General features: G+C 49.5%; 1 protein-coding gene across 3 annotated transcripts in view, besides 5 other annotated features; it reads left to right on the top strand.

Moving 5' to 3' along the window:
* NXN (nucleoredoxin) overlaps positions 1-16,042 on the top strand; it is a 180,467-nt gene that overhangs the window by 9,281 nt on the left and 155,144 nt on the right. The window lies entirely within an intron of this gene.
* Positions 4,312-5,065: an enhancer, noted in NCBI's record as "H3K27ac-H3K4me1 hESC enhancer chr17:868671-869424 (GRCh37/hg19 assembly coordinates)". NCBI's record gives its function as "activates a minimal SCP1, AML or CMV promoter by ChIP-STARR-seq in naive H9 embryonic stem cells {active_cell/tissue: H9 hESC(naive)}" and the evidence as "EXISTENCE:reporter gene assay evidence [ECO:0000049][PMID:30033119]".
* Positions 5,066-5,819: an enhancer, noted in NCBI's record as "H3K27ac hESC enhancer chr17:867917-868670 (GRCh37/hg19 assembly coordinates)". NCBI's record gives its function as "activates a minimal SCP1, AML or CMV promoter by ChIP-STARR-seq in naive H9 embryonic stem cells {active_cell/tissue: H9 hESC(naive)}" and the evidence as "EXISTENCE:reporter gene assay evidence [ECO:0000049][PMID:30033119]".
* Positions 6,981-7,953: an enhancer, noted in NCBI's record as "NANOG-H3K27ac-H3K4me1 hESC enhancer chr17:865783-866755 (GRCh37/hg19 assembly coordinates)". NCBI's record gives its function as "activates a minimal SCP1, AML or CMV promoter by ChIP-STARR-seq in naive and primed H9 embryonic stem cells {active_cell/tissue: H9 hESC(naive and primed)}" and the evidence as "EXISTENCE:reporter gene assay evidence [ECO:0000049][PMID:30033119]".
* Positions 14,535-14,763: a silencer, noted in NCBI's record as "fragment chr17:858973-859201 (GRCh37/hg19 assembly coordinates)". NCBI's record gives its function as "represses an EF-1alpha promoter that drives an FKBP-Casp9 reporter gene in an ReSE screen in K562 erythroleukemia cells {active_cell/tissue: K562}" and the evidence as "EXISTENCE:reporter gene assay evidence [ECO:0000049][PMID:32094911]".
* Positions 14,854-15,354: an enhancer, noted in NCBI's record as "H3K4me1 hESC enhancer chr17:858382-858882 (GRCh37/hg19 assembly coordinates)". NCBI's record gives its function as "activates a minimal SCP1, AML or CMV promoter by ChIP-STARR-seq in naive H9 embryonic stem cells {active_cell/tissue: H9 hESC(naive)}" and the evidence as "EXISTENCE:reporter gene assay evidence [ECO:0000049][PMID:30033119]".

The raw sequence follows: 16,042 nt of genomic DNA, 5'->3' as shown, positions 1-16,042 counted from the left end.
TTCTCTCTTGCTGCCTTTTTCCATGGTGGTGTTTTTTTTTCTAAGGGCCTTTTTAATGATTTGGCTTTTTTTTAGTTCCTCCAGTGAAGGGCCCCCCAACTCCCCCTTCATCCTACGGAAAGCCTGCAGGCTGCTGTAGTGCTTTTTGTTCAGAGACAAAATTGAACTTCAGGTGTCCTGCCGAGATCCTAGGACTAAATCAGTCCTCCCTTTTATGAGGTTTGCAGAAACTGCCGTTCCAACTTCCAGTGAAATCTCAAACCTGTGCTTTCTGCACCACGACGAGGCAGAAGCCCAGTGCCGTTACTCGGGAGTGAGACCCGTCATGGAAAGTTTTGTTCTGTGGCCTCCGTGATTAAAAGCAAACGTAAATTTTCTGCGGCTTGCCGGTCATAACTCTTGGACCAGATACACAGTGTATTTTTGTATGAACTACATCAGAAAGTCCTTTTAAAAAAACAACGTAAGCTTCACTTCGTCGCTTCCTTCTGTCCAATCCGTCAGCCTCTCCCCCTGCTCCCCAGGGTGTCTCAGTACAGGCACCAATTACAGGTAAATTCAAGTGCTGTTTCTACAGTGAATGACGGTTTTATCTCATATCGTTGTCGAACAGTCACCAAACAGGGTGTGGTGAGTTCTGCTGTCCTAGGGATAGGGCTTTCTCTTTGTTTTCCTGGGAGAATTTCATCCAGATGCATCAGTTCCACATTTTTTTTTAATTTGTCTTTTTTTGGTCAATATGCCTGGGATAAAAATCTGGATGGATTTAATCTGTTTAAAATCAGAAGGCGCTGCTTTTCCTCCCGTTAAACGTGATCAGGTCAAGACGGTTTTCTTTTGATCGTGGTGGCTCACAGCACAGCTGCCTCATCTGTTACTCATTTTTCAGGTTTTGATGTGAAATCTGAAGATTGGGCGGGACCACGTGCAATAGGGAAAAATCGCAGTGTGACCGCCGGAGCCCCGAATAGGCGTGAATGTAGCTGTGAGTGCAGCGTTTTCCAGCTCTGGGCATGTTCTTGACTGCAATTGTAAAAATTGTTTTTACCCGTGATCTTTCAAAAATACTCCATTATGGTATGTGAATATTTAAAGTGTGTTCCATAGTAGACGAAGAATATAGACTGGAAATCCAGATCCAGGTTTCCCGGGTTGGAAACTTGGCTGTTTCCCGGGGGTGTGACTTTGGGGCCAGTTCTGGAATTTCTGTGTCTCTAGTTTCCTGGTGAGTAAAATGGAGATGATGGTACCAGCCTCTTAGGGTGGTTGTTAAGGATTGAATGACATAATATTTGACAAGTACTTAGGATGGTGCCTGGTGCATAGCACGTGCCGTTTAAATGTTTACCAGGCGCTTCGGTATTCATTCCACATTTTATGGTTATTTGGATTATAAGAGAGAGGAATTCAGCCTTTTTACCTCTTTGTACCCCTCCCCCATTCCAAAGCACCTAGTTATTTATTTGTATCTAGAGACTATCACAGAACCTGGTTTCTCTTCATTTTTTTGCTTCTTTTCTTTCTTTTCTTTTCTTTTTCTTTCTTTCTTTCTTTTTTTTGAGACCGTGTCTCTCTCTGTCTCCCAGGCTGGAGTGCAGTGGTACGATCTCAGCTCACTGTGACCTCTGCCTCTTAGGTTCAAGCGATACTCCTGCCTCAGCCTCCTGAGTAGCTGGGATTACAGGTGCCCGCCACCACGCCTGGCTCATTTTGTCTTTTTAATAAAGACAGGGTTTCACTATCTTGACGAGGCTGGTCTTGAACTCCTGACCTCAAGCGATCCGCCTGCCTCAGCCTCTCAGAGTGCTGGGATTACAGGCGTGAGCCACCATGCCTGGCCTCTCTTCATTTTCCTTCTAGGACAATAATTGTCTGTCAGTTGTTGATTTGATGACATCTGTGTCTTTGATTGTTTGCTTGTTTGTGTGAGAGAGCTCTTGCTGTGTTGCCCAGGCTAGAGTGCAGTGGCACAGTCAGGGCTCACTGCAGCTTTGACCTGGGCCCAGGCAGTCCTCCCACCTCAGCCTCCCGAGTAGCTGGGAATGCAGGTGTGCACCACCACGCCGGGCTGCATCTGTGTATCTTTGCATATGGGTGTAATTCTAGATCATCTCTTTGACTAATCAGGTGCTCGGTTTTACTGAATGGATCCCGCACCCTCTTTTGAGCTGGGAGAGGCCAGGGGGAGATACTGGTCTGTGCATATGTCTCTTAATATTATTTATTTTGGGAAACTTTAAATATCATGCAGGTAGAGAAAGCAGTTCAGTGAATCCCCACATATCCACCCACATTCAACAGTCATCAACTCAAGGACACCTACTGCCCCCACCCCCACCTCCTCAATGATCTTGAAGATAGTCCCAGCCGTCATCTCATTTCCTTCATAAGCATTTCACTAAGTAACCCTTAAAAAACATAACCACAATATCACACCCAAGAAATCCATCAGTTCTTTAGTTTCAGCAAATATCCAGTTAGTATTCACATTTTCCTGATTGTCTCCTAATTTTTTTTTTTTTTTGAGACGGAGTCTCGCTCTGTCGCCTGGGCTAGAGTACAGTGGCGCGATCTCAGCTTGCTGCAAGCTCCGCCTCCTGGGTTCACACCATTCTCCTGCCTCAGCCTCCCAAGTAGCTGGGACTACAGGTGCCCGCCACCATGCCTGGCTAATTTTTTGGTATTTTTAGTAGAGATGGGGTTTCACCATATTAGCCAGGATGGTCTTGATCTCCTGACCTCGTGATCCACCTGCCTCGGCCTCCCAAAGTGCTGGGATGACAGTTGGTTTGTTTGAATCCAAATAAAATTTGCCCATTACATTTGGTAGCTGTATCCCTTAAGCCTCTTTTAACCTATAGTTTCCCTTCCCTGCTTTTCCTTGCAATTTATTTGTTGTTCTTATCCATTTAACTTGGTCCTGTCCCTGGGTCTGCCTCCTTGCCACATTCCTGAACTTTTCTGAGCCCTGTTTTCTGCCTTATCTAGGTGTGTAGAATATCAACTCCTGGGTTCAGAAGGGTCTGAGTTTCCTGTGGGTGAGAGGTCCAGATATAGGTCAGCTTTAGGCCCGGGTGGCACAGATGCCGTCCTGGGGCAGGTCCTTGCCCATCTCCCCGCCCCGCCTGTCTCTGCGCCCTGGCCTCTGGCAGGCTGTTCCTCATCTCCTAGTGGCCTGAGGACCATCGGCAGTTCTGAGCCTGCTTCCTGTCCTCCCAGACTCCCAGCAGCAGGAGTCCGGCATGGTCGCCCTTGATCCCATAACTGGTCACTGTGGCCGGGATGTGTAAATACCAAAGGGCCAAGCCTGAGTTGTGTCCACACCTGTGTAGCTGGAGGCTGGGGTCCCAAGCCAGGTGGACTGAGCCTCAGGCCTGGGGGCTGTGGGGGGGCTTGTCAAGAAAAATCAGGGTGTATTACTGAGGGAGAGTGGCCCCTACGGTCACCGTCTCTGTGTGGGGTGTTTCCAGTGACCCCAACACACCATCTCCTGAGGAAGTCCATTCTGACCTCAGCCGTCCTCTCCCAGGGGACCGCTGGGCCGTGAAGAACTGCAGACAACTCTTCTCTCTCCCCAGGGAGAGTCCCCTGGTCCTTGGAGCATTTCTCCTGTGATGTGGGTTCACCCTTCCCCCCCACCCAGGCCATTCAGATCCAAGCACCCTCCAAGATTGTCTGCCCCACCCCCCCAACAGTCATCCCCCCACCTGAATGCAGACTCCAGTGTGGTCTGTCCAGGCACAGAGGGCAGCTGGCTGCCCTACCTCCTTTGTTGCCCAATTTTTTGGCCTCCCTGGGCCACGTTGGAAGAAGAATTGTCTTGGGCCACACATAAAATATGCGAACACCAGCCGGGCGTGGTGGCTCATGTCTGTATTCCCAGCACTTTGGGAGGCTGAAGTCGACGGATCCCCTGAGGTCAGGAGTTTGAGACCAGCCTGACCAACATGGAGAAACCCCGTCTCTACTAAAAATACAAAATTAGCCGGGCGTGGTGGCGCATGCCTGCAATCCCAACTACTCGGGAGGCTGAGGCAGGAGAATCATTTGAACCCTGGAAGCGGAGGTTGCGGTGAGCCAAATTCGTGCCACTGCGCTCCGGCCTGGGTAACAAGAGCGAAACTCCATCTCAAAAGAAAAAAAAATGCTGACAACACTAGTGATAGCTGATGAGCTAAAAAAAAAGCAAATAGCAAAAAAATCTCATAATGTTTTAAGAAAGTTTACAAATTTGTGTTGGGCCCCATTCAAAGCTGTCCTGGGCCACATGTGTCCGCGTGCTGTGGGTTGGACAAGCTTGTTGTAGATGTTATGTAGACTTCTGTTACCATGTCGCGAGATCTCATTGCATTCACTTTTCTTTTCTTTTTTTTTTTTTTGAGACAGAATTTTGCTCCTGTTGCCCAAGCTGGAGTGCAGTGGTGCCATCTCAGCTCACTGCAACCTCTGCCTCCCAGGTTCAAGTGATTCTCTTGCCTCAGCCTCTCGAGTAGCTGGGACTACAGGTGCCCGCCACCACACCCAGCTAATTGTTTGTATTTTTAGTAGAGACAGGGTTCCACCATGTTGGTCAGGCTGGTCTCGAACTCCTGACTTCATGTTTTCCCCACCTCGGCCTCCCAAAGTGCTGGGATTATAGGTGTGAGTCACTGTGCCCTGTCTGTTGAAGTCACACCATTCTCCTGCCTCGGCCTCCCGAGTAGCTGGGACTACAGGCTGATGTGATCACCTACAGTCATCAAAGCCCCTTCTTAGCTCTGTGTTATGTGGTCCCTGCTAGACTGTTGTTTATACAAGCAGTTGATAAAAATGTTGATTAGCCTGAGTCTGGGGATAGAGTTGGGGGGTTATGCCGCTAGACACCTTCTCCAGGCTAGGAGGAGTCTGTTAGTCAGTTGCTCAGCCGTCTTCAAATCCAGCCGATTCCAAACTTGCCCTGATTGGATTATGATTCAGCCCACACTCCTCGGTGTGATCAGCATGTTTATTGTAGGAGGCCCTCACAGACAGCTTGCTATCACTTAGATAGTTCCTATTGATAGTTTTCAAGGAAAGATAGTCTGAAATGACGTGTGTTTGGTGAATGCATGCTTGCTTCTAACAGATCCCTTCTTTTCCTAAGTGTGTGTGATAACTAAAGTAAGCCGGAAGGTCTGTTGAAGGGTTGATGTCGAGTCCAGCTCTCTGCCATCTGGAGAATCTCCCACTTTTGTCTTTTTGAAAATCGAGACTCCCTCCGTCGGTGGGTTGCTGGTCACGAAATCACGGATGACGGTTAAGTGAGCTTAAGGCCCACGTTCTCCCTCTTGGATGTAATCTGAGAACTGCTTTATCTGCTGGGCATGTGTGGAGTGTGGGTACAATTGTTTCCTGCAGAGGACCCTGTGGAAATAGCTGGCTAGATACGCCCAATAGTCAGTGTGCGGTTGAGAGTCCCCCATTTGTCCAGAAGGCGCAGAGCTTGTACTTCCTGAGGGCCATGTGGTAATCCTGACTGCCCTGCCCTCTACCCAACACCCCTCTCCCCGCCTCCTCTCATTAGGGCATTAATGGAGCCTGAGGGAGTCTTTTTCTTAATACCATTCTCTCCGTCACACACAGGATGCGAAGCCCGCTGGCTAATTAAGTGTGGCATTTTGTTTCAAAATTATCCATAGACAGTCACTAGCTGCAAAGCAGCCCACTGTCCTTGTGCTGATAGATGTTTTTCTTAATATTTTAGGGTGACTCAGTCCATTTATTTCATGAATTTTACCTTACTTTGAAATAGGTTTCTTTTCTTACACAAGTGTCTTTGACCACCTAAAGTTACACACAAATCTGTAATATACATTGCAGTTTGGCACCTAAGGATTCTGACATTTCAGATGTAGGCGTGAGGGTGAATTGGAAGTAAATGCCTTCAGACATTTTCCTGGGGGGAAATCAGTTTCCTAAATTTGCAGAAAGTCCCGGCTTCAACCCTTGGATGCGTTGCTTTAAGCTTTTTACAAATGTTCTTAAGAATAAAATGCTACTTAATACCACGTGAACATATTCTCTTTCATTTGGATTTGCGGAAAGTATTAATTTGCAGAGACTGGGGTGGAACACTCTAGTTCTGAAGCGCTTTTTGAAGCCCTTCTTTCTTGTGAAGAAATTAGTGACATTTTTTCTGAGATCCTCTGGATCTGTTCTGCCCCTGAGCCAACAGTTCAGGCAAATAGAGATCCTTACAACAAAACACGGTGTGTGTTCATGAGGAGACAGGGATTTATCTGTCTCTGTACATGCAGCACAAATTATGGCTTTCCTGCTGACTGTTTACATTAGAAAGCCATTTATATTCCTCTGCTCAGCATGACTTCATACGCCATGTTTCTCTGTGTTCACTGTTTTCCATCTGCAAGAGAGAGCCAGCATTTTTTGTTTTTGTTTTTGAGACGGAGTCTTGCTCTGTCGCCCAGGCTGGAGTGCAGTGGCGCGATCTCGGCTCACTGCAAGCTCCGCCTCCCGGGTTCACGCCATTCTCCTGCCTCAGCCTCCCAAAGTGCTGGGATTACAGGCGCCCGCCACCACGCCCGGCTGATTTTTTGTATTTTTAGTAGAGACGGGGTTTCACCACGTTAGCCACGATGGTCTCGATCTCCTGACCTCGTGATCTGCCCTCCTCGGCCTCCCAAAGTGCTGGGATGACAGGCGTGAGCCACCGCGCCCGGCCCAGCATTTTATTTATTAACTGTAACAATAATCCTCTTTCCAAAGATAACATCACTGTTAGTAGTGTCTGGTATGTTTTTCCAGAAAAAGAATAGGCATATACTGCATATGAAAATACATATGCTTAAATGGTTTTTTGCGCAAATCAATTTAGCATTTTAAAAAAAAAAATTTCCTTTTTGTCCTTTTTTCCCTGAGACAGAGTCTTGTTCTGTCACCCAGGGTGGAGTGCAGTGGTGCGATCTTGGCTCACTGCAACCTCCGCCACCTGGTTTCAAGCGATCCTCCCACCTCAGCCCCCTGAGTAGTGGGAACTGCAGGTGTGTCCCACCACACCGGACTGATGTTTTTATTTTTTGTAGAGGAGGGTTTCACTATTTTGCCCAAGCTGGTCTCGAACTCCTGGCCTCAAGCGATCCACCTGCCTTGGCCTCCCAATGTGCTGGGATTACATACGTGAGCCACTGCGCCTAGCCCGGATATAGCATTTTAAATTAACTGTTATTTTCTGGAAGGGCAGTATGTTAAAAAAAAAATTTCAAATAAAATGAAAGGGGTGTGTGTGTGTGTGTGTGTGTGTGTCCGTCCCAGTACCTATACCTTTTTTTTTTTTTAAATCAAGCCTTTTAAATGGGTCTTGGTTATATCCTCGGCTAACCTGACAGGTGCTGCTTTTTCTGTCTCAGGTGGGTAGAGGCTAAAAGTGTCAGTGTGTGCCTGTCTGATAACCTTGTATGATTTCTGCCTTGATAATGAACCCAACACAGTTAGAGACAAGGAACAGAATCCCTCAAACCACCGCTCTCCTTAGATGGGAAATGTCTCAGGCTGATGTGCTCCCTGTGTACAACAGGCGAAAGGAGGCCTTTGAAAGCCGCTTCCCCGTCCTTAGAGAGGGGCCCCTCTAGGACTGATGGAAAGCAGTGAGAAGATGGTGTCTGTGAAACTCCCGCCGCTGGGCTCTGCCGTTTGGATAAGCTGAGAGGCTCATTCTCTGAGGCCATCAGTCTCCGCTTCCAAGCGCATTCAGATGTATATGGGGACAAAAGCCTTCTCCGTGCCGGGCACTTCTATTATGCTGTGGCTTTTGTGGGGGACTAGTATTAGGCAACTTGTATTTAATATAGATTTTTTTACTTACTGAAGGTTGCTGTATTTTTAAAAACCCACCTCACCTTAAATCCAAAGTTATGAAATAGATAAATTCAGGGACAATTCACATTTTTAAAATCTAATATTTATTTATTTATTTTGAGATGGGGTTATGAGACTGGCTAATTTTTGTATTTTTGGTAGAGACGGGGTTTTACCGTGTTGTCCAGGCTGGTCTCGAACTCCTGGACTCAAGTGATCCACCTGCTTCCACCTCCCAAAGTCTTGGGATTACAGGCGTGAGTCACCGTGCCCGGCTGGGAATCCTCTTTTTATCACAGAAGGACCTTCGTTTTGTTAGGCAATATGCCTAGTTGTTTCAGATTGTGAGCTCCTAAGAGGTGTTCAACCTGTGATTGCCTCTGCTTAGGAAAATTCACCTGCAGTGTCTCAGGAATGTATCTATTGCTTTGAGAAAAGTGTACAAATATGATGTCAAAAGTCTTCTCACCTACTATTACACACAACTCTCCCCCGTTTTCCTGAATGTTCCTTCTTTTCTTCTTTTCTTGAGACAGAATCTCACTTTGTTGCCCAGGCTGGAGTGCAGTGGCGCGATCTCGGCTCACTGCAGCTCCACCTCCCGGGTTCAAGTGATTCTCCTGCCTCAGCCTCCTGAGTAGCTGGGATTACAGGCACGCGCCACCACGCCTGGCTAATTTTTGTGTTCTTGGTAGAAACGAGGTTTCACCATGTTGGTCAGGAAGGTCTTGAACTCCTGACCTCAGGTGATCCACCCGCCTCCACCTGGCAAAGTGTTGGGATTACAGGTGTGAGCCACTGCACCCAGCTAATGTTCCTTATTTTCTTCTTTATGAGGCCACTGAGAAAATTTATAATTCATTTGGTTGCAGGTTCATGTAAGCAAGTTGCTTAAGAAAAGTCAAAGGGTTGCTATGGGAATGTTAATTAAATAAATAGATAGTAGAAATTATGAAAGGCAAACTTTTCAAAGATTCAGTGAGCCCTAAGGGAGGACTTGATTTAAGAAGGGAAGGGGAATTAATGTCAGTTTAGAAGTGAGAATATGATCTGAATTAGTCATAAATGCAGATGAAATGTACATCCTGTAGGTTAGGACAAAACTGTTAAGATGCTTACCTCATTTTACCTTGCCCTCCTGAAGAGATTCCTTACAGCTGTATATCCTAGTGAGACCCTGGAAATCCTCTGAATGTTAACAATCATGGAAGGGTTAAGTAAATTACAATACTTACTGTCTTGTTGAACAGCTATTTCTTTTTCTTTTTTTTTTTTCTTGAGACGGAGTCTCACTCTGTCGCCCAGGCTGGAGTGCAATGGCATGATCTCGGCTCACTGCAACCTCTGCCTCCCGGGTTCAAGCGATTCTCCCGCCTCAGCCTCCCAAGTGGCAGGCACGCGCCACCACACCCGGCTAATTTTTGTATTTTTAGCAGAGAAGGGCTTTTGTCGTGTTGGCCAGGCTGGTCAGGAACTTCTGACCTCAGGTGATCCGCCTGCCTCAGCCTCCCAAAGTGCTGGGATTACAGGCATGAGCCACTGTGCCCAGCCTGAATAGCTATTAAAAATCGAGTTAATTGGCCAGGCACGGTGGCTCACGGCTGTAATCCCAGCACTTTGGGAGGCCGAGGCAGGCAGATCACGAGGTCAGGAGATCGAGACTATCCTGGCGAACACGGTGAAACCCCGTCTCTACTAAAAATAGAAAAAATTAGCCGGGCGTGGTGGCGGGTGCCTGTAGTCCCAGCTACTCAGGAGCTGAGGCAGGAGAATCACTTGAACCTGGGAGGCGGAGCTTGCAGTGAGCCGAGATTGCGCCACTGCACTCCAGCCTGGGTGGCAGAGCGAGACACCATCTCAAAAAAAAAAAAAAATCGAGTTAATTGGCCAGGCGTGGTGGCTCACACCTGTAATCCCAGTGCTTTGGGAGGCCAAGGTGAGAGGATCACTCGAGCCCAGGAGTTTGAGGCCAGCCTGGGCAATATAGCAAGACCTTGTTTCTGCTAAAAATAAAATGATTAGCCAGGCATGGTGGTGTGTGCCTGTAGTTCAGCTACTCAGGATGCTGAGGTGGAAGCATCGCTTGAGCCCAGGGACTTGTGTCCAGCCTGGACAACATGGGGAGATCCTGTCTCTCCAAAAACTTAAAAAATTGGCCCTGCATGTTGGTGCACACCTGTAGTCCCAGCTATTCAGGAGGCTGAGGCAGGAGGATCACTTGAGCCTGGGAGGTTGAGGCTGCAGTGAGCCGTGATCCTGCCACTGCACCCCAGCCTGAGTGACAGAAGGAGACCCTGTCACAAAAAAAAGGGTTGGCGGTTAAAAGTTTTTGCTGGAATATAGAGCTGTAGACCTATACTTCACATACTGCATTCAGAAAAGCGAGATCCCAAATTATACATGATACCATGATTATAGATGGCACTGTATTAAACAGATACATAAAAAGGAAGATTGAAGTAAATACCCCCATTGCTTACTGTTGTGTTAGGTGGTGGCCTCCGTGGGTGGTGGGTTTCTGATTCCCACATGTTCCAAATGTAATCACTTGATTATTCCATTTTTTTTTTAAAGATGGAGTCTCGCTCTGTCTCCCAGGCTGGAGTGCAGTGGTGCAATCTCGGCTGACCGCAACCTCTGCCCCCCGGGTTCAAGCGATTCTCCTGCCTCAGTGTCCCGAGTAGCTGTGATTACAGGCACCTGCCACCATGCCCAGCTAATTTTGTATTTTTAGTAGAGACAGGGTTTCATTGTGTTGGCCCGGCTGGTCTGGAACTCCTGACCTCAAGTAATCCACCCGCCTCAGCCTCCCAAAGTGCTGGGATTACAGGCATGAGCCACCACACCCAGCCCTGTTTTTTTTTTTTTTATACAGAGTCTCGCTCTTGTTCCCCAGGCTGGAGTGTGGTGGCGCGATCTAAGATCACTGCAACCTTCACCTCCCGGGTTTAAATGATTCTCCTGCCTCAACCTCTGGAGTAGCTGGGATCACAGGCGCCTGCCACCACACCTAACTAATTTTTGTATTTTAGTAGAAAGGGGTTCACCATGTTGGCCAGGCTGGTCTTGAACTCCTGACCTCAAGTAATCTGCCCGCCTCAGCCTCCGAAAGTGCTGGGATTACAGGTGTGAGCCACTGCGCCTGGCCTATTTCACCTTTTTTTTTTTTCTCACTTCTGAAGTCCTTTATTGGGCCGGTGAGGCTGGGAGCTTCCCTGGGAGTGGGGTCCCAGTCTGGAGTCCTCAGGCCAGTGGCGCCCTGCCCGTTCTCCCGCTCTGGCCGGGGCAGGCAGCCTCTGCGCGACTCCACGTACTCCCAGCCCTCCTTGGAGTGTCGCGGGCCTGGGAGGGGCCTACAGAGCTGTGATGATACCTGCATTCCAGGAGTCATGGAGGGGAAAGGAAGGCTTTGGAGGGGCTGGGAGCTGGGGTATCTGCAGGCCTGTCTGCTGACACACGTACTGGCTGAACTGGTACGTGGCGGGGAACCACCTCTCCAGCCTTCCGTAGGGGCGCTCGGCTCTTGTTGCTGGGCCCCAGCAGCTCCTGGCCATACATCAGGTCGACGCGCCTCCAGCCACACCGCCCGTGATGAGGAACCTCATCAGTGACCACACCGCGGCCACCATGGTCCCTCGGCTCCGCGCACATCCGCATGATTCTTTCTTGCAAGATGAAAGAACTCGTATCGTGTGTGTGTGTGTGTATGTGTGTGTGTGTGTTTCTTTTTTAAAGACAAGTCTCAGGCTGTCACCCAGGCTGGAGCACAGTAGTGTGATCATGACTCACTGCAGCCCTGACCTCCTGGGCTCAAGCGATCCTCCCACCTCAGCCCCCTGAGAAGCTGAGACTACAGGAGCTCACCACCTCCCCAGCTAATTTTTATTTTATTTTATTTTTTGAGAGGGAGTCTCGCTCTGTCGCCTGTGCTGGAGTTCAGTGGCACAATCTGGGCTCACTTCTACCTCCGCCTCGGTGATTCTCCTGCCTCAGCCTCCTGAGTAGCTGGGACTACAGGCGCACGCCACCACGCCTGGCTAATTTTTGTATTTTTAGTACAGATGGGGTTTCACCATGTTGGCCAGGCTGGTCTCGAACTCCTGACCTCGTGATCCACCCGCTTCGGCCTCCCAAAGTGCTGGGATGATAGGAGTGAGCTAATTTTTAAGATTAATTTTTGTAGAGTTGGAGTCCTGCTATGTTGCCCGGGCTGGTTTTGAACGCCTGGCCTCAAGCGATCCTCCTGTTTCAGCCTTCCCAGGCACTGGGATGACAGGTGCGAGCCACCGCGCCCTGCTGCTTCCAGTTTTTGAAGGCTTTGCTTTAGCGTAGGGTTAGCCCCAGTCAGCACGTTAGCATTTTCGGAAGATGAGTAACCTTGCTCACCGTCATGTCTTGTTGGGCAGAGGCACCGGGGAAGGGACAAGCTGGCAGCCACCTCCTGCAAGAAAAGCCTTCTGGAAAGAAGAATGTGCAAGTGACCTTTTCAAACGAGGGGGAGGGTAGTCCAGTGGATTAAGACAGAGAGATATTCCAGATATAAATAGCCGTGTGGGAAGGAAGGGGAAAGTTGAGACGGAGAGGGTTCATTTGATCCTGCCGAGGCGCCTAAGTATAGGATGGAGCGAGAGGATGCATGTTTGGAACCTGATGAGTGATGGGGGCTGCCCGTGCTCCGTGGAAACATTTTCACGTTCTGTGAGGAAAACAGAGGTTCCCTTGGCAGAGCCCCAGGAACATACATTCTGGGCGATGCTGACGTGGAGGTGTGATTTCTGTGTGAAGACTGAGAAGCTGACTGCGGGGGTCTGTTTGCAAGGTGAGAGCTGCCTCTCTCGGGTCTGGGCTTGGACTGAGAAAGAGAGTCTGGGTTCCAGACATGCCACAGGACAGGAAACAGGTGCTTTTTGTACCAAGGAGGTTTGACCTCCTTGACGGGATAGGAGACAGGTGCTTTTGACCAAGGAGGCCACACTCAAACCAAAGAACCTTCTGCTGGGCCGGGTTGCAGAAATGCTTTTTTTTTTTTTTGAGATGGAGTCTTGCTCTGTCGCCCAGGCTGGAGTGCAGTGGCTTGATCTTGGCTCACTGCAACCTACACCTCCCGTGTTCAAGCAGTTCTCCTGCCTCAGCCTCCCGAGTAGCTGGGACTACAGGCGTGCACCACCACGCTCAGGTAATTTTTGTATTTTTAGTAGAGACGGTGTTTCGCCATCTTGGCCAGGCTGGTCTTGAACTCCTGACCTCATGATCCACCCGCTTTGGCCTCCCAAAGTGCTGGGATGGCCGAAGTGAGCCCCTGCGCCCGGCCCAGAAATGCATTTTCTATCAGCTTCCTTAGAGTGCAGAGAAGATCCCGGGGGGTTCCTGGCTTCTGTGTGTGAAGTAGAGGAAGTTCCTCTAGGTGTTTTCCACACGGCGTAGTGTTGGGGGAGGGGGGTGGTGACAGGGATGAGGACGCTCTCAAGCCAGATGTTTTCATCGTATGTGCTCATATTACACAAATCACCTTTGCACGTTGTTGCCTTGTCTCAGCTCCGCCAGGCCCCTGCTGGTCACATGTTTTCTGAGCATCTCACTGGCCTCAGGCAGTGTCAGGATGCAGAGAAATAAATGACTCAGTCCCAGCTTTCAAAGGCGTTTATAATTAAGCTGGGGAGATAAGGCATGAAATATATATACCTATAAATTTAGAGTTTTTTCTGGGTGATGACCATGGTATTGGTTCTAAAAGGGCTGGAGTTGCCCGCAGGAGCTCTGAGAACGGAGGGGCCAGCCTCTCTCCTGGATGACCTGGTTCTGATCCATCTTTCCCGCTCTCCAGCTTTGAGATCTTGGGCAAGTTACTTTAACCCCACTTCCTCATCTGTAAAGTGGGAACGATAGCAGCGTCCACCTTGTCAGGTTGCGGTGGAGGTTTAAGACGATGACTGATATAAAAAGCTCTTGGCCAGGCGCGGTGGCTCACGCCTGTAATCCCAGCACTTTGGGAGGCTGAGGTGGACGGATCACCTGAGGTCTGGAGATCGAGACCATCCTGGCTAACACGGTGAAACCCCATTGCTACTAAAAATACAAAAAATTAGCCGGACGTGGTGGCGGGCGCCTGTAGTCCCAGCTACTTGGGAGGCTGAGGCAGGAGAATGGCGGGAACCCGGGAGGTGGAGGTTGCAGTGAGCTGAGGTTGTGCCGTTGCACTCCAGCCTGGGTGACAAGAGAGAATCTCTGTCTCAAAATAAATAAATAAAAATAAAAAGCCCTGAACATAGTGCTGGGCACAGAGGAAAAGGCCAGAAGACGGTGACCACTGTTCTGTTCCACGAGACCCGATGGTTTCCTGAGGGCAGAGAAACTGTCTTTCCTCCTTGTGTCCTTCTTACTTAACACGTTCGACACCTCTTATTAGTAAATACTTGGCACCGTGTTTATTGAAAGAAAGAATGAATGGTTTGGATGGAGAGTTGAAGGCTTGGCGGGATTCCGGTGGGAAGAGGTTTGGAATTCCAAGCAGAAAGGTGAGTCTCAGTGTTTATTGGTGCTGTCATCATAATTAAATGCCCTTATTTCAAAATATTGAACAATGCAGTCACTGAATGATACCCTGGAAAGGACAGGGGGATTATGTGGCCACAGTCTTCTTTGACAGGCAGGGAAACTGAGGCTCAGGGAGGAGGCGGTCAGATGGCAGACCAGCCTCCAGATTCTCAGCCTCTGTATGGCTGGGCCAGTCATATTTCTCTCTCTCTCTCTTTTTTTTTTTTGAGATGGAGTCTCGCTCTGTCGCCCAGGCTGGAGTGCAGTGGCACAATCTCGGCTCACTGCAAGCTCCGCCTCCCGGGTTCACGCCATTCTCCTGCCTCAGCCTCCCGAGTTGCTGGGACTACAGGCGCCCGCCACCACGCCCGGCTAATTTTTTTTGTATTTTTTTTTAGTAGAGACAGGGTTTCACCGTGTTAGCCAGGATGGTCTCAATCTCCTGACCTTGTGATCCGCCCGCCTCGGCCTCCCGAGGTGCTGGGATTACAGGCGTGAGCCACCGCGTCCGGCCTCCCGAGGTGCTGGGATTACAGGCGTGAGCCACCGCGTCTGGCTGGGCCAGTCATATTTCTTGGCAGTTTTCCTGGTAGCCTTTAAAAGAAGTCCAACCAGTGTCTGTCAGACTTTGCCAAGTTTTGCTCTTAGAGAAGAGATGAGGCCAGGCACAGTGTCTCATGCCTGTAATCCCAGCACTTCGGGAGGCCGAGGCGGGTGGATCACCTGAGGTCAGGAGTTCGAGACCAGCCTGGCCAAGATGGTGAAACCCCATCTCTACTAAAAAAAATAAAAAATTAGCAGGGTGTGGTGGCGCATGCCTGTAATCCCAGCTACTCGGGAGGCTGAGGCAGGAGAATCGCTTGAACCCGGGAGGCGGAGGTTGCAGTGAGCTGAGAACATAGCACTGCACTCCAGCCTGGGTGACAGAGCGAGACTCTGTCTCAGGAAAAAAAAAAAAAAAAAAAAGAAAGAGATGAGCATGCTGGAAAAGAGGGAAATACCACAGGCCCATCTTTCCCGTGTGAGTTTACATATCCCAGCCTCTAGAAAAGACCACTCTCCCCGTCGCGGGGGCTCATTCCTGACAGCAGAGTTGTTTTCCTGTGGAAGGGCTGGGGTCAGGCCCGGGACGCGGGGCAGACCTCCTATGTGGAAAGCCTCGAGTGGCTGTAACCCAGGGCTGAAAAAACAAACATGTTACCTCACTGGACAACAGCTCAGAGCTCTTAAGAGGGGGAATACCAGCGCTGAAATATGTGCAATGTAAAGAAAGGAATTTACAGAAGGTCAGGTGCTTCAATCTGGGAGTCTAGGCCGATGCGGCCCCTAACTGGTAGAGAGCCATTCCATTCCATCCAGATGGCTTGGCAGCCACAGTACTTTTTCCTGTTGGGCCATCAGGGAAGGAGAGGAGGCTCGTGATCCTGGGGCCCGTCCGGGCAGTTAGCCCCCTTCCCGAGTGGTGTTGAGGGACAGCTGCGACCTGAGCACCTGGCACTCGGCCCTGGGGCCTGGGGTCGTGGGAATCAGCCCTGTTGCTCTGAGGAAGTCACTGGAACCTGAGCAGGGAGGTCGAATATGCCTGAGTAGGAGAAAAACAAAAAGTTGGTGCAGGACAGCCCCGGACACGTGCTTGCCCTGAGCCTGGAGAATTTGGAAGGGAGGCTGCCGGGTC

This window comes from Homo sapiens, chromosome 17 (assembly GCF_000001405.40).
Source record: "Homo sapiens chromosome 17, GRCh38.p14 Primary Assembly".
NCBI classification, from domain to species: Eukaryota; Metazoa; Chordata; class Mammalia; order Primates; family Hominidae; genus Homo; species Homo sapiens.
Note: the sequence above shows the minus strand (reverse complement) of the source record. Positions and strands in the feature narration are given on the sequence as shown.